Source organism: Homo sapiens, chromosome 12, assembly GCF_000001405.40.
Source record: "Homo sapiens chromosome 12, GRCh38.p14 Primary Assembly".
Classification (NCBI taxonomy): domain Eukaryota; kingdom Metazoa; phylum Chordata; class Mammalia; order Primates; family Hominidae; genus Homo; species Homo sapiens.
The window spans coordinates 125,958,684-125,985,457 of record NC_000012.12 but is presented as its reverse complement, the minus strand read 5'-3'; the positions used below and the strand labels follow the sequence as shown (position 1 = coordinate 125,985,457).

Genomic DNA, 26,774 nt, shown 5'->3' with positions numbered 1-26,774 from the left:
GTGCAGTTCAGCTCATCACAGTGACTTACTCAACCTAGACTGTGCCCAAAAGTTCATGTCTTTTTCAATCAAGATATACAAAGATGTTTTTCTGAATAAAAACCCTGCAAACTTATGAGATGAATGTTGCCTTTCCCCATAAAACTTAGAGGTAAGACAGATATGTTATCTTCAAAACATTAATCCTCCCAAAATTGTAAGCATCCCTTCTAATTTGATTTTAATTTGATTCTAGATGTAGGCAAAACACACTTCCGTAAACATTAAGCAGTAAAAAAGCACAATGCATTTTAAAGGACTGGGTTTTCACACTGGATAGAGGTGGCATGGAATCCCAGCCCATCATCACCACAGGGACTTTGAGCGCGTTGCTTAGCCAGGTTGAGCTGCCTTCTTTTCTCCTGTCAACTGGGTATTGTTAAGGTAAGAAGCTTCTCATCTCAACCAGGCTTCCAGTTAAGGTGAAGAAAATAAAAGCTCACTCTCCTCCTCTTCTCCCACTAATAAGAAAAAAATTCCGGCCGGTCGCGGTGGCTCACGCCTGTAATCCCAGCACTTTGGGGGGCCGAGGTGGGCGGATCACGAGGTCAGGAGATAGAGACCATCCTGGCTAACACGGTGAAACCCCGTCTCTACTAAAATATACAAAAAAATAGCCGGGCGTGGCGGCGGGCGCCTGTGGTCCCAGCTACCGGGGAGGCTGAGGCAGGAGAATGGCGGGAACCCGGGAGGCGGAGCTTGCAGTGATCGCGTCACTGCACTCCAGCCTGGGGGACAGGGCGAGACTCCGTCTCAAAAAAAAAAAAAAAAAAAAAGAACAAAAACTCCTGGACATAAAACAGAAAGCAACCCACAGAAGGCTCTGAAATGTGGAGATTAGAAGGTGTAGCGGCTAGGGACCTCAGAATTCCAGGGAAGAGGAAGGATGCTGTTTACTTTTGCATCCTAAACACCCTGGCCCTCCAACCTAGGACCACCAAGGAGCACAAAGACAAAAAGCTCCAAGAAAATGTTGTTCTAGGTAGACAGCCGACTGGGAGGAGGGAGGCGCTGCAGATTGATCTCTTTTAACTGTAACCACTCCTCTAACAGTTAAGGAGCGCCGCTTCCTCACAGGAGCAGCTGGGCCGATGCCCCTCCCCACCTGAGTCCTCCACCAAGGGGCGTGGGGGGCTGGGCCCAGTCAACCAGCCTTTCCCAGAATTAGGCAAAGAATAGAAGGAGGTGGTGCCCCGCCCCCCGCCACCCCACCAGATACTGATCCCAAGGGGGCTGAGGGGTGGGACCTTGTCCAGCCACCAAGCTCTACACTAAGCCCCCCAGTAAAGGGGGCAGGCTCCACCCTTTCCTAAACAGCACTTCCTGTAGCCCAGGAGATTGTGGGGTCCAACCCTGGCCCCTGGCCCCAGGGGCACCAAGAGAAAGCCAGCAAAGTGATGGGGACCCGCCTGGGCAGAGTCTGACAGCCAGCCCTGCCCAGCCCTGAGCAAAAGTTGCAAAGAGAGGGTTTCCCCACAAAGCCCCTCCTACAGGAGCTGCCGCCTGCAGCCCGTGAATTGGAGGTCTCAGGAGGACAACTAGCCTCTCCCAGCAGAGCAAATGCCCCACAGAGAGGGTACCTTCCCCTACCGCGCCCTGCCCCCGGGGAGCCTAGTGAGGACCCCTGGCCAGTTTTAAGAAAAAGGCCACACTGGCGTGGGGCCCCTCCCCTTCTTACTGTGGGAGAGGTCTCTCCGTTGGCCACGCCCATTTCTGGTAAACGTCACAAAGAAGTGTGCCCCTCCTCCTCCCTAGAAGCCTGTGGGGCCGAGATGCCCGGACCTGCCCGGCCCGAACTAGGCAAAGTCCAGCGAATAGGTGAAGAGGTGGTGCCTCCTCCTCTCACAGGGCTCTGCCCCTAGGAGTCCAGGAAACGGGGGTGTCTTGTCCGCTGATGGTTCCCGCTAATAGGCAAACACCAGGAACGTGCAGCCCCTCCCCTCCGCCTCGCGCTCTTTCTGGGAGGAGCCTGGGGGGGGGAGGGTCCTGCCCACGGGCCCCGCCCTGCACTAGGCGGAAGCCCCCAAAGTATCAGCGCCGCTTCGTGGAGCCTGGCGACTGCTTTGGGAAGTCCTGCTGGCAGGCACTCTGCCCCTGGGGGTGTGCAAAGAGTTGTCCAGTTACCTTGATCTTCTCACAGCCTCCTCCCCAGGGCACCAGGAGAGACCAGGATTGGAGGACGGTAAAGAACACACTTCCCAGAGGATTCTTGGAGGTAGAGTCAACAGGAAGGGGTGGTGAGACCTGCACAGACCTGCTCTGTCCCCTGGGCCTGGTGACAGATGACCTGGATGTTGGGTGCAGCTGGGCAGGGACTGCAATTCTGTGTGTCCCTTTTTCTGGGAGCCACAGGAAACCCATGCCCTAATCCACATCAGACTACCACTTGTCCTTATCCTCCAAACGCAGCAAAATATTACACAAGGTCCAGGGCAAGGCAGGATGGCCACCTCGCTCACTCATCACAGCTGTCCTCTGACCTGAGCAGGGCCGTTCTGTCTCAGACCTGGAGACCCCGCACTCAGGGCGTTCAGGAACTCCCCGACCCACCAGGAGCCTCTCCTGGTGTCTCCCAGGGATTGTCAATAGTTCCATTTTCCTTGAAGAACTTGTTTTCAGGTATGCACTTCTCTAAACACGTATGCATTATTTTTTCTATTTTAAATTTAACCACGTTGTTTTATTTTTAATCACATCTACACTTTGTAAATTTGGAAACGGAGTGATTTTCCATGTTCAGTAATGATAGCAAGCTTCCTTTTAAAATACGTTTTACTTTTTATCTTCTTTTTTTTTTTTTTTTGAGATGGGGTCTCCCTGTGTCGCCCAGGTTGGAGTGCGGTGGCCGATCTCGGCTCACTGTAACCTCCGCCTCCCGGGTTCAAGTGATTCTCCTGCCTCAGCCTCCTAAGTAGCAGGACTACAGGCACACGCCATCACGCCTGGCTGATTTGTGTATTTTTAGTAGAGACAGGGTGTCACCACGTTGGCCAGGATGGTCTCGATCTCCTGATCTCATGATCCACCCGCCTCGGCCTCCCAAAGTGCTGGGATTACAGGCATGAGCCACCGCACTGGGCCTAAAATATGTTTTTTAAGGAAACAAACAAAAAGCAAGTCAGTGTGATGAGGTGGTAAATATAGGACAAAAAATCATGAAGGTGTTTCTCAAATGAGAAAATTAGAAAAAAACTGTATCTCACCTTTCCCCCTACCTTACACATGGGCGAGTGGCAAATGTTTATTGAACAATTGCACATGTAAGCACCCTGCCAGGTCGTCTTTACATCCCCAACCACGTTACAAGGTGGATGTGATGATCCCTGTTGGTGAGGACACGGGAGCTCAGGGAAGCCAGCCCAAGGCTACAGAGCCAGCATTGCACAGTCAGATATCAGTGAGGGAGAAGGAAAAGAAAAATCATTTGGGAAAAAGTCAGACTGCAGAAGCAGTCGGCCTGAATAGTCACAGCAACAGGCAGAAATAAAACAACCTGGGAAAACACTCAGGCTGTACCTGGACAGATAAACAAGCAATGTCCAGCCCAGAATCTCTTTGTTCTTTGTAATTAGTGAGCTCCCAGGAAAAATTTCCTCCCCTTTTCAGGCATATACATGATGAGAACTTGCACAAGGGGGAGGGAGCTTACCTAAAACAAACCCACAGTTATACAAACAAGAGAAGCTGTACTTTGTGCTTGCCTAGAGACATACCCACGGCCGCATAAGAGAAGGGGAGTTGCACAGACACCTTTACTGATAAGAAAAGTTACCCAAATAATTACAGGGAGGAGAGCAGTTTCTTGTAAAAAGCTTTTGAGGCTGGGTGCAGTGGCTCATGCCTGTAATCCCAGCACTTCGGGAGGCCAAGGCGGACAGATCACCTGAGGTCAGGAGTTCAAGACCAGCCTGGCCAACATCGTGAAACCCAGTCTCTACTAAAAATACAAAAATTAGCCGGGTGTGGTGGCACGTACCTGTAATCCCAACTACTCGGGAGGCTGAGGGAGGAGATTGGCTTGAACCGGGGAGATGAAGGTGGCAGTGAGCCGAGATGACGCCACTGCACTCTAGCCTGGGAGACAGAGCAAGACTCCATGTCAAAAAAAAAAAAAAAAAAAAAGCTTTTGAATTCAGCTGTAAACTGGCAGTCCACTTGCACTCCCCTCTCCACTGCAGAGAGTTTTCTTCTTTCACTTATTAAATTTTTGCTCCAACCCCAAGTTTGTGTCCAAGTTCCTTAATTTTCTTGGATTTAGGACACAGAACCCAGGATACTAGTTCAGACAATGAGGAACTGCTAGGTTAAGGTGCATTGGTGAGACTGCAACATCAGGACCTGGGTTTTCCTGAAGGTTGGAGGGAGAGAAAAGCCAGTTCCCTGGCTTAATCTCTGTGGTTGGCCACCACCCACTTAAGTTTCAAGCCACATAGGATCAAATCCACAGAGACGACGTTCAGGAATAGAAGCCTGAGCTCAACCACAGCAGTGTGGTGATAGGAATGAGAGAGTGGGGAGATGCCACAATATCCAGTTATATGTAGAAAAAGGCTATTGTGTCAGCAGATTTTATAGAAAGGGCTGGAATGAACAGGCTGCCACACACTGTCTCTGCAGGAACAAGATTCGCAAGGATACAAACAAATGCATTTATAGGAACTCACTAGGCAACAGCAATACCATTGCATTGATAGGTGTGCAGACATGTTTGTGCAGGGAGTAGAGAGAGAAGATGGGTAGCCAAGGAGAGAGAGAGAACAGCAAATCCCAGTGTTTCTTTCAGCACAACCTCTCAGGAACTCATAATTAATGCATTAATTCTCACACCCCTGTTTCTGGACTTTTGTGTGTTTCCTCACACTTCCTTTGATCTCATTTTCCAAAGGATAAATGAAGTCTAATGGAGATAAAGCACTGACATTTACAGAGGGTTAGAGACTAATGATATTAATGACATTCTTGTGGTTTGTCCAACATTATTTTTGTGCAGATTTCAATTCATGCTGCACTCATCCTGGGGGCAAAAGTTAAAGGTTTTCTAAAAAGCTACTTAGTGAATGTCTTAGTTAATGGAAAAGAAAATAAGTCAATCCTTTTTTTTCTAACCTTGAAGTTGCAAAGATTGACAATGAACTCTGTAATGGTGCATTCTCCTCTTGTGTGGTTTTTGAAAGCTGAGTTATCCTTCCTGTAATGATTCTGCACCTGCAAACTATACGTACGTGTCTCATTTTGTTTCATAATAAGAAATCATAAACAAACCCGAAATAGCTTAGAAATAAATGTAAGCAATTCATGACTAGAAATAAATAACATCTCTCACATTTCTTCCCTAGAATAAATATCATTGTTTACCCAAGGATGCCAACTATTTGCATGGTGGTGTTTAGTCAAATTCATTTGTTTAATACATGTATATTGGGCTAGTGTCTGGAGACACAGTGGGCTACAAGGGAAGGGTCTCTTCCATTTTAACCGAATATCAACGTTAGAGACAAATATTAGGTCAGATATTTGTCTTCTGTAAAGTGGCAGCACAGAGTCAAATCTATGTTTCCCTAGAACAGTGAGTACCTCCTAAAATTGAATCCATCATCAACATTTAAATATCAGAATATTGCATGTAAAAATAGTGTTTCCTTCTTCCCTTTGAAACAAAGATTAATTCACACTGGGCCTATATTACTGCATGAAAACAGCTGACTGCAAGTGCTGTGGTTTGGATGTTCCCCCCACCCCCCCCCCCCCGGCCCCAACAACCTCATGTTGAAATTTGATCCCCAGGGTTGGAGATGGAGCCTGTTGGTGTTTAGGTCCTGGGAGCATGATGTGGTTTGGCTGTGTCCCCACCCAAATCTGATCTTGAATACTAGCTCCCATAATTCCCACATGTTGTGGGAGGGGCCTGGTGGGAGATAACTGAATCATGGGCGTGGTTTCGCCCATACTGTTCTTGTGGTAGTGAATAAGTCTCACGAGATCTGATGGTTTTACAAAGGGGAACCCCATTCACTTGGCTCGCATTCTCTCTCGTCTGCCACCATGTAAGATGTGACTTTTGCCTTCCACCATGATTGTGAGGCCTCCCCAGCCACGTGGAACTGTGAGTCCATTAAACCTCTTTTTCTTTATAAATTACCCAGTCTTGGGAATGTCTTCATCAACAGTGTGAAAATGGACGAATACAGGGCATATCTCTCATGAATAGATGAATGTCCTCCCTGGGTGGTGGTGAGTGAGTTCTCACTCTCTTACTTTCCGGGAGAGTCTGCCTTCCTCAGTTTCTCTCTCTTGTCATGTGGTCTCTGCACACACCAGCTCCCCTTCAACTTCCCCCATGAATAGAAGCAGCCTGAGGCCCTTTCCAGATGCAAATGCCCAAGCTTTAACCTTCCAGTCATCAGAATTGTGGGCCAAATAAACCTTTTTATCCTTTATAAACTACCCAGCCTCAGGCATTCCTTTATAGCAACACTAAACTAAGAGCAAGTGAGCGCCAGCCATTCTTTTCAGTTGGGCCACACGACTTTCAGTTCACTACCATCCCTAACTGACTGCTTCTTTCACTAAATTCACTTTTCAAACTAATATTATATTTAGATAGCAATTTCTGAAAAAAATTGATTGCACAAATTTGTTTAATTATATCAGCAATCCGCATTGCAAAGGAAAAATTAAAGAACATGCTACATGGGGTGGAGAGATCTTCCCTAGTCTCAGGTCCCAGCCCCTGAGACTTCTCCAAAATCAGGCTGCAGGATTCAGCACTGATAGGGCCAGCCAGGTAAAGCTTCTGACCCGCACTGAGCTTTACAGATTGAAGTCATTTCAAGCTCCATTAAATAGCTATTCATGTTTGCCTGATAATGTGCATATTATTCTGGCTAAATACATCTGTTACCAGGAGCTGGTCTGCTTCAAAAATTCTTGGCCAGAGAAAGGGCCAAGACAACATCTTCTAGTTATTAGGAAGATTATTTAAGCTGTTGAAAAATGGTTTTGTGGCTAAGAATCATATAAATCCCGATATTTTAACTTGAAGCAAGGTGCTGAGCTATTACAGTATTCAATTATCTAAATGCTACAATGCTACAAGGCAAATGTTCCCAGGTCTGACATATTAATCTACTTGACATTTAACAAATTACACTGTGTTTTTATAGAGTGACAGCTATTTGAGAAGGCCAGAACACATGTCACCCAGCCTGTCCCCTGCCTGCCCTGACCACCTCCATTAACGCACCTGTTATTGATATAAAGGGGACACACTTAAATGTTTCCAGAAGAAAAAGCACCTGCAGCTTTTAGGAAAGATACCTCAAGGTCAGGGATTGTGCACATAAGGCTAAATCTGCCATGCCTTTCATCTTGAACGATGAATTTTGGTACAATAACAGAATTACTTCATCTTCAGTAAAATTCCAGCACATAGTCACTTCTCAGCTAAGTAAACCTTCTCTGTTAACTTTCCCTTATGAAAACAAAGGAGCAAGGACATTGGTACCTATGATCCGTCTTTGCCAAGCCACATATGACAATCTCATATGACACATGCAAAAGGCTCTATCTCATAACCACAATCTGTTAAACACCTTCTCCATGTAAGGCACAGCAAGAGGTATTTTGAATGTATTATCTTGTTGTCATCATAACAAAAGTAACAACAGCTAACTTTATTAAGGGCTTAGGATGTTCGGGCATGTACAACCCATGGATCATTGTGTTTAACATTTACAACAACCCTGCAAGGTGGCTGCTCTTACTATTCTATTTATTAACTTTTACTACTCATTTACCAATGAAGAAACTGAGGCTACAAGAAGTTAATTTGCCCCAAACCCAAACGTTTATAAACTAGAACTAGGGAATAAAACATTGTAGGAGCACGGGTCAGCATCAACTGCCATGTCTAAGAGCCACAGTGGACATCAACCCAGCCCAGCCTTCAGATGAAGGCAGACTTAGCCACCATCAGTTAAGAAATATCTGCAATTGAGCTTGCAGTGAGACACAATCACGCCACTGCACTCCAGCTTGGGTGACAGAGTGAGACTCTGTCTCAAAAAAAAAAAAAAAAGAAAAAAGAAAAAGAAAAGAAATATCTGCAATCACGTAAGACTCAGACTAAAGAAGAATCTGGGTGGCTGAGCCCAGACAGCCCGCAGAACCAAGGGAGACAATAAATGATCATTTTAAGCCGTTACATTTTGAGCAGTTGAATAAACTAGATACTACTAATATACCAGTTTTACCCATAAGGAAACTGGGGCTCTGGAGAGTTAATTTGTCTAACATCAAAGACTTGTCAGTGAAAGACCCGGGAAACGGTTTCAGGTTCCTCTGACTCAATGGCCCTTATTCACACAGGTGCAACCTACGGGCCACTCTTCTTTGCCAAATGTATTTGAACATTCTATGCCAAATACATGGGATGTGTCTCCAAGACCATCAGCCACTAAGCATGCATTATATGTAGGCATATGATAACATACACATAAGAGTTTTGATATGTGGACACTTTAATCCAGCCTTATATAATTTCTAACTAGGAATTTATCACACCTGTGTTCATGTAAAAAAAATGTAAAATCAGCTTATTAATGATAATGTTCAATGAAGACAGCACAAACACTATCTTCCATGAATCTCCAACCCACTGCACTGATTAAAATTAATTTTTAAAACATCCATGCATCACAGAAGTTGTAATCTGCAGAGCAGGGGATTATTTTTCTTCGTTGGGTAAAAATCATGCCTCTCTCCAGTTATCAGAAGGAACAGACGGTGCATAGCACAGTAAAAATGAGCACAAACCACAGCCTGATTGCCAGCTCCAAATCCAAGAACTGTCACTGCCTCTGTGACTTTGAACACGTTTCTTTCATTTTTGAGTAATGACTTTATTGAGATATAATTCATGTGTCATAAAGCTCTCCCCCTTGAAGTATACAATTCGATGGTTTTTGTTATATGCACAGAGTTGTAAAACCATCACCACTAATTCCAGATCATTTTCATAACTCCCAAAAGAAACCCTGTACCCAGTAGCAGTCACTGTCCATTTCTGCAGTCCCCCAAGACCCTGCAAGCACTAATCTCTTTTCTGTCCGTATGGATGCGGTTATTCTGAAGTTTACATATAAGTGGAATCATACGATATCATTCTGTGTCTGGCTTTTTTCACTTAGTGTGATGTTTTCAAAGTTCATTCATATTCTAGCATGCATCAGAATTTTATTCCTTTCTATGGCTAAATAATATCTCATTGTGTGGATGATTATCCAGGCCATATGGGTTGTTTGCACTTTCTGGCTATCGTGAATAATGCTGCTGTAAACATTTGTGTACAAGTTTTGTGTGAACACGCTTTTGATTCTACCACATGTAGTGCTGGGTTGTCGCTAGTGTAGGCATGTTTCTTACTCTCTGAGAACCTCCATTTCCTTGTCTGCAACGGGGCACAATAGCAGTGCCTCCTTCATGAGGTTGTTGTGAAGATTAAATGCATTAACTCTAGAGAAAGCATGTTAGGACCTTTTTCTATGATGCTAAACATTGTAGCATTTTCTCCCCAGCAGGTCTAGCATGGCCTAAGCTGTGCCTCCACTTCACACGCTTTTGTGCCTTTCCCCGTCGGCACACACAAGCCACACTGACTACTGGAACTTTCCAGTTATCTCTAGTCTCTGGGCTCTTTTGTTATTCCCTTGTCCTGAAATATCTTTTTTTACTGCTCTATTCTTGGCTGAATTTTCTCATCCTTTACGTCTCAGACTAAAGAACTAACTGCCTCCTAGGTGGGCCCATCTCTGAGCACCCTGAGAACAATAGGCTTGTCTTTCCTGTTCTCTGATTATTTTCAGTATAGCCCTATAAGGGCTGTCATATTCATTTCACCTGTTCTCCCATTTATTGTCGACCTCTCCACTGCACCAGAAGCATCAGAAGTTAGAATATACGCCTTTCTCACTATAGGCCTTCTAGCCAAGGTGAGGACACATATTTCATGCTCAAGAAATATTTGTCGAATGAGTGAATTAGTGAATTAAAAATTTTAGGTGGCCGGGCACGGTGGCTCACGCCCATAATCCCAGCACTTTGGGAGACTGAGGCAGGCAGATCACGAGGTCAGAAGTTTGAGACCAACCTGCCCAACATGGCGAAACCCCGTCTCTACTAAAAATACAAAAAAAAAAAAAATTAGCCTAGTGTGATGGCGGGCACCTGTAATCCCAGCTACTTGGGAGGCTGAGACAGGAGAATCGCTTGAACCTGGGAGGCGGAGGTTGCAGTGAGCCAAGATCGTGCCACTGCACTCCAGCCTGGGCGACAAAAGCAAAACTCCGTCTCCAAAAAAAAAAAAAAAGAAAAACAAATCTAGTGACTGCATATTGCAGGATCTGGCCAGCAGCCCGCAATGCAACAGGGCTCTCTCTTTGTTCCCAGGCGGATCGGCAGGTTGAGAAATAACAGACACACACAAGATAGTGAAAGCTGGGTCCCGGGGGATCACCGCCTTCTGGTCCCGCGGTGCCAACAATGCACTGGATATACCAGCATTTATTATTAAGTTTAGTGAGGGTGGGGGTAGGTTAGTGAGGGTGGGGGTAGGTTAGTGAGGGATTTAGGGTCATTTGATTATGAGGTGAGATGGTCACATGCGGATGAAGTAATTCTTTAACATAACATTTGTATGCAGAAGTACAGTATACAGAGATAAGAATTTACACTATAGTGTGTGGGTCAGTAATTTCTAACAGAGCCTTAGAACAGAAACACAGTCTTTCCATAACCTAGGATTAGCAAGATATTAATCAGCAGTAACAATTGCAACAAAAGCTGGTTACAAACAATCCATGGAAACAGGACATGAAGCTAGACAACCGGTTAGACCAGAAATTCTCAGAAGGGAGTATGCCTTAACCCTGAAGAGGCCTAGAAGAGCCGTGGCAAGATGAGGGTGTTTATAGCCCTATCTTATCCATATGGACAGGCACCCCCCATGCGTCCGTTTATAGGCTCCCCACAAGGGTCGCATTCCATTCCCAGAGCTATGAACATCTGCTTTTCTGGGATAGGAATCTTGGTGATGTGAAACCTCCCTGACTGCACGTCCATTCATAGGCTCTCTGCAAGGGGAAGCACATCACGCGCTGTTGGCTCATTCTGGCGTCCAACCTGGCATTGTCTTTACACAATCCTGCATGCAATTTTGTATTTACAATAATCAGGAGCATTTCATCTTTTACATAACATTCCATAGCAATAGTTTCAGGGGGTCTCCCTACAACTGCATAATATTTTGTTAGATATAAGGTCTTACCAATTTTAACAATTATTTTACATTTATTATGGCTTTTTGGTGATTCTAATTTTATCTATTATAAATATAACAAAGTATTTCGAATGGACCTGTGCTGAGAGTCATAGAGGTCCATGCACAGACTTGGGTATCACACACGCACTCACTTTAGTGATTCACAGAGAGGTGGAAGAAAGGGAAAAAGTCTAAGCTCATGCAGCATGGGAGGTGTGAGCTATGGGCTCACTGCACCCAGGGACAAGCTGGTCCTGGGACCCACAAACTCATGGGACCTCAGAGAAGTTTCTGGTATACCTGTAAGGCCTATTAGAAATTCTGAGAAATAACTGAGTCACCCTAGAATATTGGCTATTATTATTATATTAACCTTAAGCCCCATGGGTCTATACTAATGCTAAATTAACATTACCCAAGTAGTGGCTTTTCTCTTTTTTAATATAAATATTGCCTATATATGGAATAAGCTCTAGAAAAGTGAATTTCTTTTTTTTTTTTTTTTTTTTTTTGATATGGAGTCTTGCTCTGTCACCCAGGCTGGAGTGCAGTGGTGCTATCTTGGCTCACTGCAACCTCCGCCTCCCAGGTTCAAGAAATTCTCCTGCCTCAGCCTCCCAAAATAGGCACTGGCCACCGCACCTGGCTAATTTTTGTATTTTTAGTAGAGATGGGGTTTCACCATGTTGGCCAGGACTGTCTCGAACTCCTGACTTTGTGATCCACCCACCTCGGCCTCCCAAAGTGCTGGGATTACAGGTGTAAACCACCGTGCTTTTGACTAGAATTCAGAGTAAGAAATTCATCTTACGTTACACAAGTACACACAAATAATTCAAGTAACATTTCAAAAATCTAAATTTATCTTAGTACCTGTAATAAGGTAGTAAGGTATTCTAATTCTCTGAGCTATTCTATTCCATCCTATCCCATTACTTTTTTTTTTTTTTTTTGAGGTAAGGTTCTGCTTTGTCACCCATGTTGGAGCACAGTAACACAATCATAGCTTACTGCAACCTCAATCTACTGGGCTCAGGTGATGCTTCTGCCTTAGCCTCCCAAGTAGCTGGGACTGCAGGGGTGCACCACCATGCCTGGCTAATATTTCAAATTTGTTTTTGTAGAGACAGGGTCTCACTGTGTTTCCCAGGCTGGTCTCTAACTCCTGGGCTCAAGAAATCCTCCTTTCTTGGCCTCCTAAAGTGCTGGGATTACAAGTGTCAGCCACCATGCCCACTACATTTTTTTTCTTTTAATGTTAGTCTCAGCATTTATTTCATACCACAAACGCATCATGACTTGCAGCTTATTAAAACACTGCCTTGAAGACAGATCCCAGCCTAGAAGCTGTACAAGCCTTTGCATAAACATGCCTAAAAGCAGATCTTCCTAGCTGAGGGAGCCCAGGAAGAGCCCTCCTCACTATGTGTTGGACACACCCACTACCCAAAAAACAGACTATTTTCCTGGCACCTTTCCAACCTTGTGGATTACATAGTAAAGTCTCCCTTAGACACATACCACCTGGGGGGTGCGTGTGGTGGCTCATGCCTGTAATACCAGCGCTTTGAGAGGCCAAGGCTGCCAGATCACCTGAGGTCAGGAGTTCAAGACCAGCCTGGCCAACATGGGGAAACCCTGTCTCTACTAAAAATACAAAAATTAGCCAGGCATGGTGGCAGGAACCTGTAATCCCAGCTACTAGGGAGGCTGAGGCAGGAGAGTCCTTGAACCCAGGAGGCGGAGGTTGCAGTGAACGGAGATCATGCTACTGCACTGCAGCCTGGACAACAGAGCAAGACTGTGTCTCAAAAAAAGAAAAAGAAGAAAGAGAGAGAGAAAGAAGAAACAAAAGGAAGGAAGGAAGGAGGAAGGAAGGAAGGAAGGAAGAAGGAAGGAAAAAGGAAGGAAGGAGGAAGGAAAAAGGAAGGAAGGAGGAAGGAAGGAAGGAGGAAGGAAGAAGGAAAGGAAAGGAAGGAAGGAAGGAAGGAAGGAAGGAAGGAAGGAAGGAAGGAACCACCTGGGAAGCTGGGCGTCTAGAGCCTTCAAACTGTGCCCACCTCATTAATAATACTACATACAGCAAAAGCAAGTTCCAAAATTAGAAATAACACAAAGAAACAAAAAGATTTGTACACAACATTTATTACAATTTATAATATTAGGAGAAAGAACAAACAGTATTGGCCAAAGATCTGAACCAATTTTAATGTGATCAATAAAAATAATTCACAGATGAGCTGATGTTCCCCTTATCCTTCACCACTCATCAGTTCGATCACCCTTCCAAAAAAAGAATGGAGGAAAGGCACGAAAACCCTACTGTAAGTGCAACATGCCTGAGTTCCTATGAAGCCTGCAGTTGAGACAACAAAGCCTCCCTGGTCTCTCCAGGTGGAGTACGGCACTGGTTCAGAGGAAACTGTAGCAGCCTCTCTGGGGGCAGTTACATTGAGAAGTCCCTTCCTGCTGGAGGTTCTCAGCCTGAATCTGCTATTCCAGTGGCTTGGTGGGAAGCAGGAGACACCATGTAAACATATCCTTAAAAAATAGGAGAGGTGAACAAAAGACAGGCAGGAAAGACACAGATGGAGGCAGTGTGAGTGACAAAAACTCTGAACTCTTTCTGTTTTTTAACTTCTACAAACTTTTCTATATACTCTGTCCCAGGTGGCTGGGCAAATACTTGAGCCTTGAAATGAAATCTTGGAGTATTCAGTAACTCGCACCAGCTAAATCAATCATGAATTGTGTAATAAACTTTAGCCTTTGGCATTTCAGAATTTCAAGACTTTTATTGCGGCAGCTGTTCTTATAGTTTATCTTCTAAGTTATTTGTGTTTTCTTTATAATCTGTGTATACTTTTTATAAAAGGAGTAATACATGAACCTCTGAGTCAGGGAATAGAGCTAGAATTGTATGTTTTTTGCTATATGCAAATGATAATTTACTTTGTTTCATATTTTTACTTTCAAAATTATTTTTAAAAGGTAGTATTTCAGATAGATGATATAGTGTTTAATTACTGTTTAACAAACATCATTGCTGTGTGAGATCTCCCAGGAAACTTGTAATCACGCAAACATTGTTTTTGTAAACTTTTAAAAATCAAATTTACCTTCATACTTGTCTAGCAATTATCAATATGTGGGCAAAGGACTCACACAGAAGATCTATTAAAGAAGAACTAAATATATTGAACAAAATTATACAATAGAATCAGTCTTTCAACAATATGACTACTCCAAACCTCAATATTACTAAATTTATTGTTTTGCTAATCTTGTTCCACATATTTCAATTTTTTTAAATGAGTTTCTCTAAGGACTTCTGTGAGCGAGAAGAGTTTGTATGTTTCTTTAACATTTTCATTTCTCTTCTTATGTTCAAATGCTCTGACCATTTTTCTTTGAGTTGTCTATATTGTTATTTCTGAAATATATTAGTTCTTTAGATATGTGAATTTTAATCATATCTGGTATATATACTATAGATATAATTCCTAATTTATCACCATTATTTTAACTTTATTGATTCATTTTAATTTTTAATATTCAAGTTTATGAAAATATTTAGTAATAACTTTTATACCTCATTAATTACTAAGTAGGAATATTCTTCCTCGTATCTAATATATAGTCTGATATAATTCTTAAAAATATTTTTGCAGTCGCATTGTACTTAGCTCTGCATTTCATCAGGAGTTTATTTTTCTAACGCATGGGGTAGAAACCTAAATTTTTTTCCTGAAGTAGCAAAGCATCATTTATTGAACTGTCATCGGTCTATTCATACCACATTTCCCACTGATTTGAATATTGTCTTAATTGTGTGCTAAATTTATGAGTATGTGGATCTGCTGAATTCTGTGATATTGACCAGTCTATCAAGATCAATATTGGCATGATACTGTTTTAATTGCTATAAATTTATAGAAATATATGTTATGATATGTAGCAAATCAACCATCCCTCACTATTATTTTTGTATTCTTAAAGTAATGCTGGATTGCAAGAATAAGTATATCTCCAAATTTCAGTGTCTGAAACAAACAGAAGTTTGTTTCTCGTCCATGTAACCAAGGCAAATGCTCCTGGTTGGCAGGTGGCTTCCTCCAGGCAGTAAATCTACAGCCCAGGCTCCCTGCATCTTATGGCTCCAATCACTTTGGATCTCATCGTCGCCTGCACATTGCCATACACAGGGAAGGAGAAGAGATGGAGAAGGCAAAGACTTTCTGAAAGCCGTGGCTAAAAGCTGGCATGTGTCACATCAGCTCACATTCCATTGGTGAGAACATAGAATATGTAAGGCAAAGAGAAACCCAGGAAACTATCGCGTGCCGTTCTTAGATCTCTCCATCCCTAGCTGGTCTGCCTTCTTCTCTCCACATTTCTGAGTCTTTCTTCTTTGCTTAATTTACAATGTCCAGGGTGTTTTAGTGAAAGTAATCTTCTCTGTCACACTCCGCACAGCAGTTTCTCCATATCCTTTTAATATATTCCTTTTTTTGTGGTTAGAATTGAAATAATGGTTACTACTACCGAAACCCCTAAATAATAAGTACCTTGATGGAAGGGAAAAATGCAAATGACAGACTTCTAGCAAAAGTTAAAAACAAAAATAAGAAAGAAAGAAAGAAAAAATAGGAAAGAAGAAAGAAAGAAAGATAGGAAGGAAGGAAGGAAGGAAAGAGAGAGAGAAAGAAAGGACAAAAGAAAGAAAGAGAAAGAAAAAGAAAGAAGAAAGAAGAAAAAAGAAAGAGAAAGAAAGAAAAAAGAAAGAGAAAGAAAGGAGGAAAGGAAGGAAGGAGGGAAGGAAAGAAGGAAGGAAGGAGCTGTGTATAGTGGTACAAAGAGGAAATCCCATGTTGGGATGAGAATTTGAGAGTCTTAATTCACTCCCTTATAGAACTAAAGTCACGAGCCCTCAGTGGTTAAACTTTGAGGAACGTGATATCTAATTATCAAGGTATTAGCATTCCAGGTCTCTCTTGTAACTTTAACAACTACAAAGTACAGACACAGACATGGCCCACTATTGTCATCTGAGAGCAGGTGGTGCATGAGTGTGAACTGGTAACTTGGGAAGAGGAGCCAAGTAGAACCGTACATGAAAAGGTGTAGCATCTCCTGTAACCATGCACAAGGCAGAATGTGGCAGCTTCATTCTCTACCACCATTCTTTACCCTATTTCAACAATTTCTAAGGCTGGTGTGCCTGTGAGGAAAATATAAGATCTGGACAGATGGGATGAGGACATCTGGGAGGAGCCCCAACTCTCTGAGATTACCCCTATACCTCACTCCGTGCCCCCAGCCACATCAGTGAGGTGTTTCTTCTCATTTTCAAGCTCATTTAACTAGGACATAGTTTAGATATCAGGGAGAGTTTTCTAAACCAGATTAAAGATCCTCTCTGCCTGTTATTTCCAATCTGTGCTCTGAGGACCCAGGATTAATTGGAGAGCTGGGCAGGTGGCAGATCTCAGAATTAGTGACGTCACAGCAAACCCAAGAATTCACAGAGCAAAGCCCAAAATAATTTTTTTGCACTGCTTATCAGTAGATTCCAAGTGAAATGAAATTAACTTAGTTGATTAGGTTTTCAAGGGTTTTGGTGACAGAACCCACCCCCTCCTCCATATTTACTGATGAAGAGCCCATAATTTTTTAGCCTCTGAGGATTTAGCCTCTGACAGGGACCAGGTGTAGGAATCAACAGGAAGGATGCATGTGTGTGATGTCTCTAAGGGTGTATTTTGAAGAAGTCAGGATTGGAGTTCCCCAACCGCTCTTCCTCTTTTTAAAATGTCCAAGTGCAATGGCCCTGTCAGTACTGGCTAAGTAAAGGAAATTTCCCTTGCAAGGTGAAGCCAGATTAGTGAACGCAACACTTCTAGGAAATATGAACAAATGGGGTCCCACAATCTCAATGATCCTAGTATTTATCTTTCTAGCCTAATAAAGAATAATGTGTACCCCAGGGAAGGAGACCCTAGATGCTTATAAATAAGCCAAATAGAAGGTGAGATCCTCTTCCTTCGTGAGACCGAATGAACAGCTCAAGATTCCACAGCCAGCCACATATTCCCAACCACCTGCGGCAAGCCAGAATAGCAGCAGAATATATAATTTAGGTAAAGAGAGAGAGAAAAAAAGTCAAAGAGACAGAGATAGAGAGAATTAGAGCTATATAAATCACCAAGATATTTAGTATAATTTTTTTTATTGGAGAGGTAATTTAACCCTTTTCCCATTTAGAAAAAAAAGAAAAGTACAGCTCACTGCCAGCACTCATTTAATTTTACATAAACACATTCTTTGAGGCTGAAGCCAATCTGACTGATTTTCAATGTGAAAATAGAATATAAAAACTGTTATTGAAGCTATTTCTAAACAGAACTAACATCAGAATCGTCTGAATAATCAGAATCGTCTATTTCAGAAAACTCGGATTCATCAAATAATATTCGGCCAACAACTGTTCCAGAGTGATGTTAACATCACGTGTAGAATTGCTACATTTTCTGGGTTTTGATATTTTCCGTGATCAAGAATTACTATATTTTGTAAATGGAAATACCACTACTAAAAACGGAATGCTATGAATAAATGATGTCTTTTTTCCCCAAAGTTGATATACCAGAGCAATGCGAAAATAATAAAAGCCAGATATTTTGTGGCACTTATCTCGGGGTAAAGGCTGCAGCCGCAAGCACCACCGGCAATCATTCTTTTTTTTTTTTTTTTTTTTAGTAGAGACGGGGTTTCACCGTGTTAGCCAGGATGGTCTTGATATCCTGACCTCGTGATCCGCCCGCCTTGGCTTCCCAAAGTGCTGGGATTACAGGCGTGAGCCACCGCTCCCGGCCTGGCAGGCATTCTTGAGGCAAACGGGAAATGGGGTAAGTTACACAATCGATACAGCTCCGTCATCGTGGTTTAATTACTTTTCCACGTACCATGTTTCCTGACAGGTAGAACGATCAGCCTGGGCCTCCGTTTTTCATTCTACAAAGAATGAAGTGCATGAACTGTCCTCTATAGAATTGTGGAAAAAGTTGTTTTTATTGAGTTGTGGTTATCTTTGTCTTCATGGTCTAATTACGGAAATAAATGCTTTTCCGAGTCTCCGGGGATGGTCTGCCCTAGTCCAGCTCTCTGCAGTGTCTTTCTGGGTTTTTCCTCAGTGAACGGGAGGAACATTGGCAGCACTTGTGGTCTGCACCAAGAACTGAATCGAATTTCCATGTGTTATTGAATGTTCACAAAGACCTTGTACAGCGAGTGTTACTACCTCTGGTCAATGATTCAACTCAAGGCTCAGAAAAGTCAAGTGTCTTGTCCAGGGACACTTAGTCAGAAGTGAATCCAAGGTTTAAGCTCAAGTCTGCCTAACTCTGAATTTCACAGCCTTTTGCTACATATGGCGAATAATATATCCCTGAGCACTAAAGGCAGACTCCAAGGATCTTGTCTCTGCAATCATCATTCTGGCCATAATTTATGAAAAGCAACCCAAAGTATGTGATGTAATAAAAAGTACTATCTATGAGTTTACCCTTCCAAAAATTGAACTGAATTCTGAGCTCTAAATTTGGAATCAAAAGAACTTTTCTCTGCACTAATCATTTGGAACATCACTTAAAGAAAACAACGAAAAACTGGTGTCCCCTGAGAGAAAGCAATACAAAACATTATGCATAAAGAAATCCTTCCAAAAAATAAACCAAATCCAGTCAAATCTCTAGTTTTGACTCCTAGCTTACCGGAAATACGTGATGGGAAAAAAATGAAATGACACCACTATGATTCAATCAGCCAAATCCAGCATATGCAAATTTCTACCAGATAAATGGTTTAGTTTCTTCCCCAAACAAATGGCACAAGGAAACGGAGGTAAGAATGGGATGCTGTTATAGATTTTAAAAGATTTAAGAAAGTATAAACTAAATACACTATGTGCATCCTCTCTGAACGTGCTTCAAACATATCAAGGGGTCAATGAGCAGTTTTGAAACAATAAGGGAATTTGAACACTGAATGGTTGTCAGAAGATAGTAAGAGATCATTATTAATTTTACTAGACATAATGATGTTCTGATTTTGTTTTTTTTTTAAAAAAAAAACAGTGTTATTTCCTTTATAGATACATCATATAGTATTAACTAATGAAATGCTTTGATATCTGGAACGTTTAAAAAATATTCCCGATGGAGTAAGTGCAAAGAAACAGGTAAGCAAAATGCTGATAATTGCTGAAACACAGGATGTGTACCTGGGGCTTCATTTACTATCTCTTCATTTTCTATTTTGATATTTGTTGGACATTCTCATAAAAAGGAAAGTTATGTTTTATTTTCTCATAAGCTAGTAATGAAATAGCCCTACGTAACTGATATTGTAGAGACAAGAATAGGTGTAATAGAGCTTAAGGTTTTCATTTAAAAAACTATCTGTAGACTTCAATGGATCTTAGGTGGCATCCATGCAATAACACTCGTGGAACATGCAGGACAGGTGTGGAGCTCCATCTTCACACAGTGACATTTTTTATGCTTCTGTTTTCCCTAAGAGTGGAGTGAGAGGATGATTATTTTATATCATGGACTTCTTCCCTGCTATACTTTTTTTAATTATTTTACTTTCACTTCTGGGATACATGTGCTGAGCATGCAGGCTTGTTTACATAGGTATACATCTGCCATGGTGGTTTGCTGCACCTATCAACCCATCATACAGGTTTTAAGCCCTGCATGCATTAGGTATTCGCCCTAATGCTCTCCCTCGCCTTTCCCCCCACCCCCTGATAGCCCCCAGTGAGTCATATTCCCCTCCCTGTGTCCATGTGTTCTCATTGTTCAACTCCCATTTATGAGTGAGAATATGTGGTGTTTAGTTTTCTGTTCCTGTGTTAGTTTGCTGAGAATGATGTTTTCCAGCTTCATCCATGTCCCTGAAAAGGACATGAGCTCATTCTTTTTTATGGCTGCATAGTATTCCACGGTGTTATATGTGCCACATTTTCTTAATCCAGTCTGTCATTGATGGACATTTGGGTTGTTTCCAAGTCTTTGCTATTGTAAATAGTGCTGCAATAAACATATGTGTGCATGTGTCTTTGTAGTAGAATGATTTATAATCCTTTGGGTATATGCCCAGTAATGGGACTGATGGGTCAAATGGTATTTCTGGTTCTAGATCCTTGAGGAATTGCCACACTGTCTTCCACAATGGTTGAACTAATTTATACTCCCACCAACAGGGTAAAAGCATTCCTATTTCTCCACATCCTCTCCAGCATCTGTTGTTTCCAAATGTTTTAATGATTGCCATTCCACCTGGCGTGAGATGGTATCTCATTGTGGTTTTGATTTTCATTTCTCTAATGACCAGTGATGATAAGCTTTTTTTCATATGTTTGTTGGCCACATAAATGTCTTCTTTTGACTTTTATGTGGAAACAAATTTAACTGCACAGAGAGGTGAAAATTAATTAATAACTTTTAAAGTAATTCCCTAAGTTTCTAAGGATCTATATGTTTCCATCTGACTTTATTTTATTTAAGCTCTTGATTGATGCTGCATTTGGAGCAGGTTCATGAACATGAATAGAGTTAATCTGGGACAGATTTCCCTCATTTGATTTTTTCACTGTTTCCATCACAGAACTTATTTCATGCTCACCATGTTTGCAGGCATTGAGCTTGGTACTGGAGCCACAGAGCTGGATCAGACAGACTTGTGCAAATATTTCAGGTTTTTTTTGTGGGGGGGTCATATTTATAGATAAATAACAGTAAAGAGTGACGGGTTCTTATGAAAATGCATACACAGTGAAGTAGAGGGTGAAAAGGAGGGATGTGTTCTATGAGGAGGAAGAGTGATAAGAAAGTGTAAGGGGATGTGTCTGTGTCTAGACATATGTGTGTTCACGTGTGTGCGTGCTTGTGTGTACTGCATGTGTATATGTGTGGCCATGCACCTGTGTGCATGTTCATGTGTGTGTGTGTATGTGTCTGTGTTGAGGACTAAATTAATTGGGCTTATGGAAGCAGGGAGCCACTGATAGGTTTAATTAGAGACTGACATGATATGATAGTTTAGGTGGATTTCTCTGGGGGCTGTGTTGAGGGACAGTGGGGAGGAGAGCTAGAAGGAAGAAAAGGACACATGCATAACAGAAGCAATATCTGTCTATGGGATGGTGGAAAGAATCAGAAAAGACTTAATAAAACATGTGACACTTTAACTGAATCTTGAAATAGACAAGTGTTGGAGGAGGGAGTTGGACCAGATACTTCATGCAAAGGGAAGAAAAGTGCACAAACAAAATATGAGAAACAAGGCAGACAGGCATTTTTTTAAAATTTTCGCACCCACTGATAGACCAGTGATGCATTCACATCGTCTGCATTCATGATCAACAAAAGTGCTTTCCTAGAACATGAACCTCAACCCAAGTGTCGCCTCAAGTAGTGTATGCATGAACTCAAGCATTAAATTAGAATTGATTTTTTAAAAAACTCACACAAACAGATGTATTATTTAAAAATCTTTAAAGCAGGTTTAAACAGTTTTCAGGATTAAAAGCAGCCACTATTAGAAAGAACAAAAATACATTTGACATAAATATAAGGAGCCTCAATAGAACCTCCTGTACCCAGTCATTGTCAATGCCACATCCATTCATTCACCAGCCCTTATATCAATGCTTGCTGGGCTCACTTACCACGATCAGCACGTGCATGTCCTTATCTGAAAGCTTGCCACTCAAATGTGCTCAGTCTTACCTGTGTGGCTGGGAGTGTTGGGGATTTAATGTCAAGGGAAAGAATCTTCCATCAATGAATGATGAAAGTTAGTTTTCACAACTTCCGGTCCCCTTGGCCCTCATCAAAGGGCTCCAGGTGAGGTTTGGGCTCCTTGCTATCCTCCGAGTTTCCACGGTAGTTTTAAGCACCATTGCCCGTGGTAATGGCTGACATTGATACTGCACTTTTTTTTTATTTAAGATGGAGTTCCCCTCTGCCACCCAGACTGGAGTACAGTGGCGCGATCCTGGCCATCGCAACCTCCGCCTCCCAGGTTCAAGCGATTCTCCTGCCTCAGTCTCTCAAGTAGCTGGGATATGGGCACCTGTCACCATGCCCAGCTAATTTTTTTAAAATTTATTTTTAGTAGAGATGGGGTTTCACCATGTTGGCCAGGCTGGTCTCGAACTCCTGACCTCAGGTGATCCACCCACACTTTTTATTGTTTGCCTACACTTTCTAGACTTGCTTCATCAGCCTACTCCGTTTCTGGTTGATATGGTTTGGTTGTGTCCCCACTCAAATCTTATCTAGAAGTGTAATCCCCAAGTCTCAAGGGAGGGACCTGGTGTGAGGTGATTGGATTGGGGGGTGGTTCCCGCCATGCTGTTCTCATGATAGTGAGTGAGTTCTCATGAGATCTGATGGTTTTATAAGGCAGTTTTCCCTATTCTTGCTCACTCTTCTCTCTCTTTCTGCCATGTGAAGAAGGTCCTTGCTTCCCCTTCACCTTCTACCATGATTGTAAGTTTCCTGAGGCCTCCCCTCAGCCATGCACAACTGTGAGTCAATTAAACCTCTTTCCTTTATAAATTACTCAGTCTCAGGTCGTATCTTTATAGCAGTATGAGAATGGACTAATACACTGGTCTATCCTTCATCCAAATTAACTACCTGCACTGCAGTCCTTGTCTCAGGCTCTGCTTTGAGGGACCCCAACTGTGACAGCCGCATTAGAATGCATCACATACTGCAGTGAAATTCTAGAGTGGGTGTTGTCAGGTGGTGATGATTGTTAGATATGTCAGTCTGTTTTCAGGCTGCTGATAAAGACATACCTGAGACTGGGTAATTTATAAAGGAAAAGGAGGTTTAATGGACTCACAGTTCCACATGGCTAGGGAGGCCTCACAATCATGGCAGAAGGTGAAAGGCACGGCTTACAGGGTGGCAGCAAGAGAGGAAATGAGAACCAAGTGAAAAGGTTTCTGCTTATAAAACCATCAGCTCTTGTGAGACTTATTCATTACAATGAGAACAATATGGGGGAAACTGCCCCCATGATTCAATTATCTCCCACCAGATCCCTCCTACAACACATGAGAATTGTGGGTGCTACAATTCAAGATGAGATTTGAGTGGGGACAAAGTCAAACCATATCATTAGATAGGACACTGGAGAAAGGCAAGAAAGAAAAGACATCTGAAGAATGAAGGGAGCCAAAGAAATGCCAACATTTTGCTTTTTGAAGAAAAGCTAAATTAAAGTCAAAATGGATTTATCAATTTCCTTGGGTTCGTGAATGTACAGAACTTTATTAAGGTAAGTCAAAACTTCTCTTTTTATACTTAACCCAACTCAAATTGGCTTATGTAGGGGAAACAAGAAATCAAAACCCAAAGGAACATGCCAGTTCAGGAATATACAGTTAGCTAAGCTTCTTACTGAACAAATAAAATCACAAAGCATGTATGCAGATAGACCACAAGTGACTATAGTGAGGTAGTTTATTTCAGCTCTATTTATCTGGAATTAATGCTACACCATCTGACATATTAAGCAGTTATGCATCAGGTATCAGTAGTTACATCTTCCAGTGCCTCTTACAGTTGCCCCTGATGGTATATCTACTCGAAAGTATGTAAGTGCACTCACATTCTTCAACATTTCCTCATTAAAGCCAGATGGAATTGGGCTTCTTATACTTGCTATTCATTCATTTAATATTATTAGAGTGTCTACCATGTAGTAGGCATTTTCTGTAAATGCTGGGGATATCTTGATAACAAAGACAAAACCTTTCCCCACATAGATCTTAAATTTTAGTGCGAAGAGAAAGACAATGACTATTTTGAAGTTACGAAGGGGATTTGCTGATTTGAATGCCTACTTAGGAGATTCAGAAGTGGTTGGATTTAGGTGCTTAGATTAAGTCATCAGGAATTTCCACCTTCTACCCATAACAGTGAGCATCTGAAACTTACAAAACAATATTTCCTATTTTACTTCATTTTATTTTAGAGACAGGGTCTTGCCTGTTGCTCAGTCTGGAATGCAGTGGCACAATCATAGCTCACTGCAGCCTCAATTTCCTGGGCTCAAGGGATCCTCCCAAAGTGCTGGGATTACAGGTATAAGCCACCATGCCCGGCCAAGATACTCTATTTTTAATTTACAGTTTATATCAAGACACTGAGCCAGGGGAATTTGAAGTCACCCATCCAGTGGTCTTAGCATCTTTGCTCACACACTGAATGACTTGATGTAAATGACTGAATCAGACTTGTTTGCTTATAGCTGACACCACCGAGCAAACATATTCTCTCTTTCTCTGGGACAACACCTGATATGGTCTGGCTCTGTGTCCCCACCCACATCTCATCTTAAATTGTAATCCAAATTGTAATCCCCACATGTTGGGGGAGGGACCTCATGGGAAGTGATTGGATCATGGTGGTGGTTCCCCCTGTGCTATTCTCGTGAAAGTGAGTGAGTTCTCATGAGATCTGATGGTTTTATAAGGGGCTCTTCCCCCTTCATTTTGCACTTCTGTCTCCTGCTGCCTTGTGAAGAAGGACATGTTTGCTTCCCCTTCCACCATGATTGTAAGTTTCCTGAGGCCTCCCCAGCCATGCCAAACTGTGAGTTAATTAAACCTCTTTCCTTTATAAATTATCCAGTCTCGGGTATTTCTTTATAGCAGCATGAAAATGGACTAATACAGCACCTATCTCCCAGTATTGTATTTTCACAATGGAAGTTTTAATCCAGGGATGTCTAATCTTGTGGCTTCCTAGGCCACACTGGAAGAAGAATTGTCTTGGGCCACACATAAAATACACTAACACTAATGATAGCTGAGAAGCTAAAGAAAAATCACAAATAAATCTTACAATGTTTCAAGAAAGTTTACGAATTTGTATTGGGCTATCCTGGGCTGCGTGCAGCCATGGGCTATGGGTTGGACAAGCTTGGTTTAATCCATAGATGGAGCATTCTACACAGCTCCCTTAAAGATGTTCCAGAAGTGCTGACTCTGTGTCAGGCACCATGTTCACCACTTAGATGTTCGTTTAATCCTTACAAAAGAGCCATGGAGCATGGACTGTTACTGTGGCAGATGTGTTAGCCTCCTGTGGTTGCCATAACAAAATACTACAAACTGCGTGGCTTAAAACACCAGGAATTTATTCTCACTGTTCTAAAAGACGGAAGTCCGAAATCCAGGAGTCAACAGGGCTGTGCTCCTTTTTGAGGCTCTAGGGAAGAATACTTCCTCCCCTCTTCCAGCTTCTGCTGGCCACAGGTGTTCCTCGGCTTGTGGCCACATCACTCCAATTGCTGCCTCCATCCCACATAGCCTTCTTCCCTATGTGTGTGTTCTCACATGGTCTTTGTATAAGGATATCAGTTATGGGATTTAGTTCCTACCATAATCCATCATGAACTCTACTGCACTAATTACGTCTACAAAGGCCTTATTGCCAAATAAGGTCACATTCTGGGGTTTCAGGTGAATATAAATTTTGGAAGGACACTATTCAACCCAGTACAACAAGTAAAATTTAAAAAGGCACCCTTTTACCTTGGCATGTTATCTCACTTGATTTTTATAACAGCCCTGTAGATTAAACAGATAATATGTTATATTCCCACTTCTAGATATCATCACCCATTATTTGAGAGAATGGAAATGAAGTTCAGGGCTGTTAACACTCCTGCCACTGAAACATCCCAGGCCAGTGACCTTTTCATGTCTGACCTAACAGGTGGTTTCCAACCACAGTTACTTGTGACATCATTCCATCACTCCCCATACACATTCCCTGTAGATCAACTTATCTGGCCCTACAATTATAGTTACAGGGAATTTTACATTCTTCATCTTCCACAGGCAACTGAATCTTCTGGGACAAAAAGCATATGTTCTCCCATAGTAATAAAATTTCCCTTTTTTAGCCTGGCATGTGACTGCCAATAATAACACTTCCCAGACTCTCAGGTGTCCACGTCTATCCAAAGGGAAATATAGTCAGTGATAACTTCCAGACATAGATGAAACATGCCACACCTTATAGTCACTTTATGGGGTTCATTCTCTCTTCCCATAGACTGTCATGCTGTCATCATGGCTGGATCTGATACGGCCACCGTGGACCTTGAGGTGACCTCGGGAATGGAGACAGTGCATGGGAGAGAATCACATTGGAAGGGGCCTGGGTTTCTGAAGACCCTGTAAGACAGATCTCCTTGCAGCCCTGACTGCCCACATTAGGGCTTTTATGTTAGGGTGAAGTTACCTTGCATTGTCATATAAGCAATTGCTATTTGTGGTGTCTTGCAAATAAACCTATTCTGATCTAGTATGTTTCCTAAAAAA

General features: G+C 42.3%; 2 long non-coding RNA genes across 2 annotated transcripts in view, besides 1 other annotated feature; one reads left to right on the top strand and one right to left on the bottom strand.

The window, feature by feature from the left end:
* LINC02826 (long intergenic non-protein coding RNA 2826) overlaps positions 1 to 1,935 on the bottom strand; it is a 59,958-nt gene extending 58,023 nt beyond the window's left edge. Inside the window, exon 1 of the long non-coding RNA NR_183612.1 lies at positions 1,718 to 1,935. This is a non-coding gene — a long non-coding RNA (long intergenic non-protein coding RNA 2826). The remainder of the gene's footprint in view (positions 1 to 1,717) is intronic.
* Positions 1,517 to 2,204: an enhancer, noted in NCBI's record as "H3K27ac-H3K4me1 hESC enhancer chr12:126467800-126468487 (GRCh37/hg19 assembly coordinates)". NCBI's record gives its function as "activates a minimal SCP1, AML or CMV promoter by ChIP-STARR-seq in primed H9 embryonic stem cells {active_cell/tissue: H9 hESC(primed)}" and the evidence as "EXISTENCE:reporter gene assay evidence [ECO:0000049][PMID:30033119]".
* Positions 2,084 to 26,774, top strand: LINC00939 (long intergenic non-protein coding RNA 939). The gene is made up of 6 exons (NR_034132.1): positions 2,084 to 2,254; positions 15,462 to 15,647; positions 18,116 to 19,258; positions 22,375 to 22,447; positions 23,477 to 23,716; positions 26,506 to 26,774. It is a non-coding gene; the product is annotated as a long intergenic non-protein coding RNA 939 (long non-coding RNA).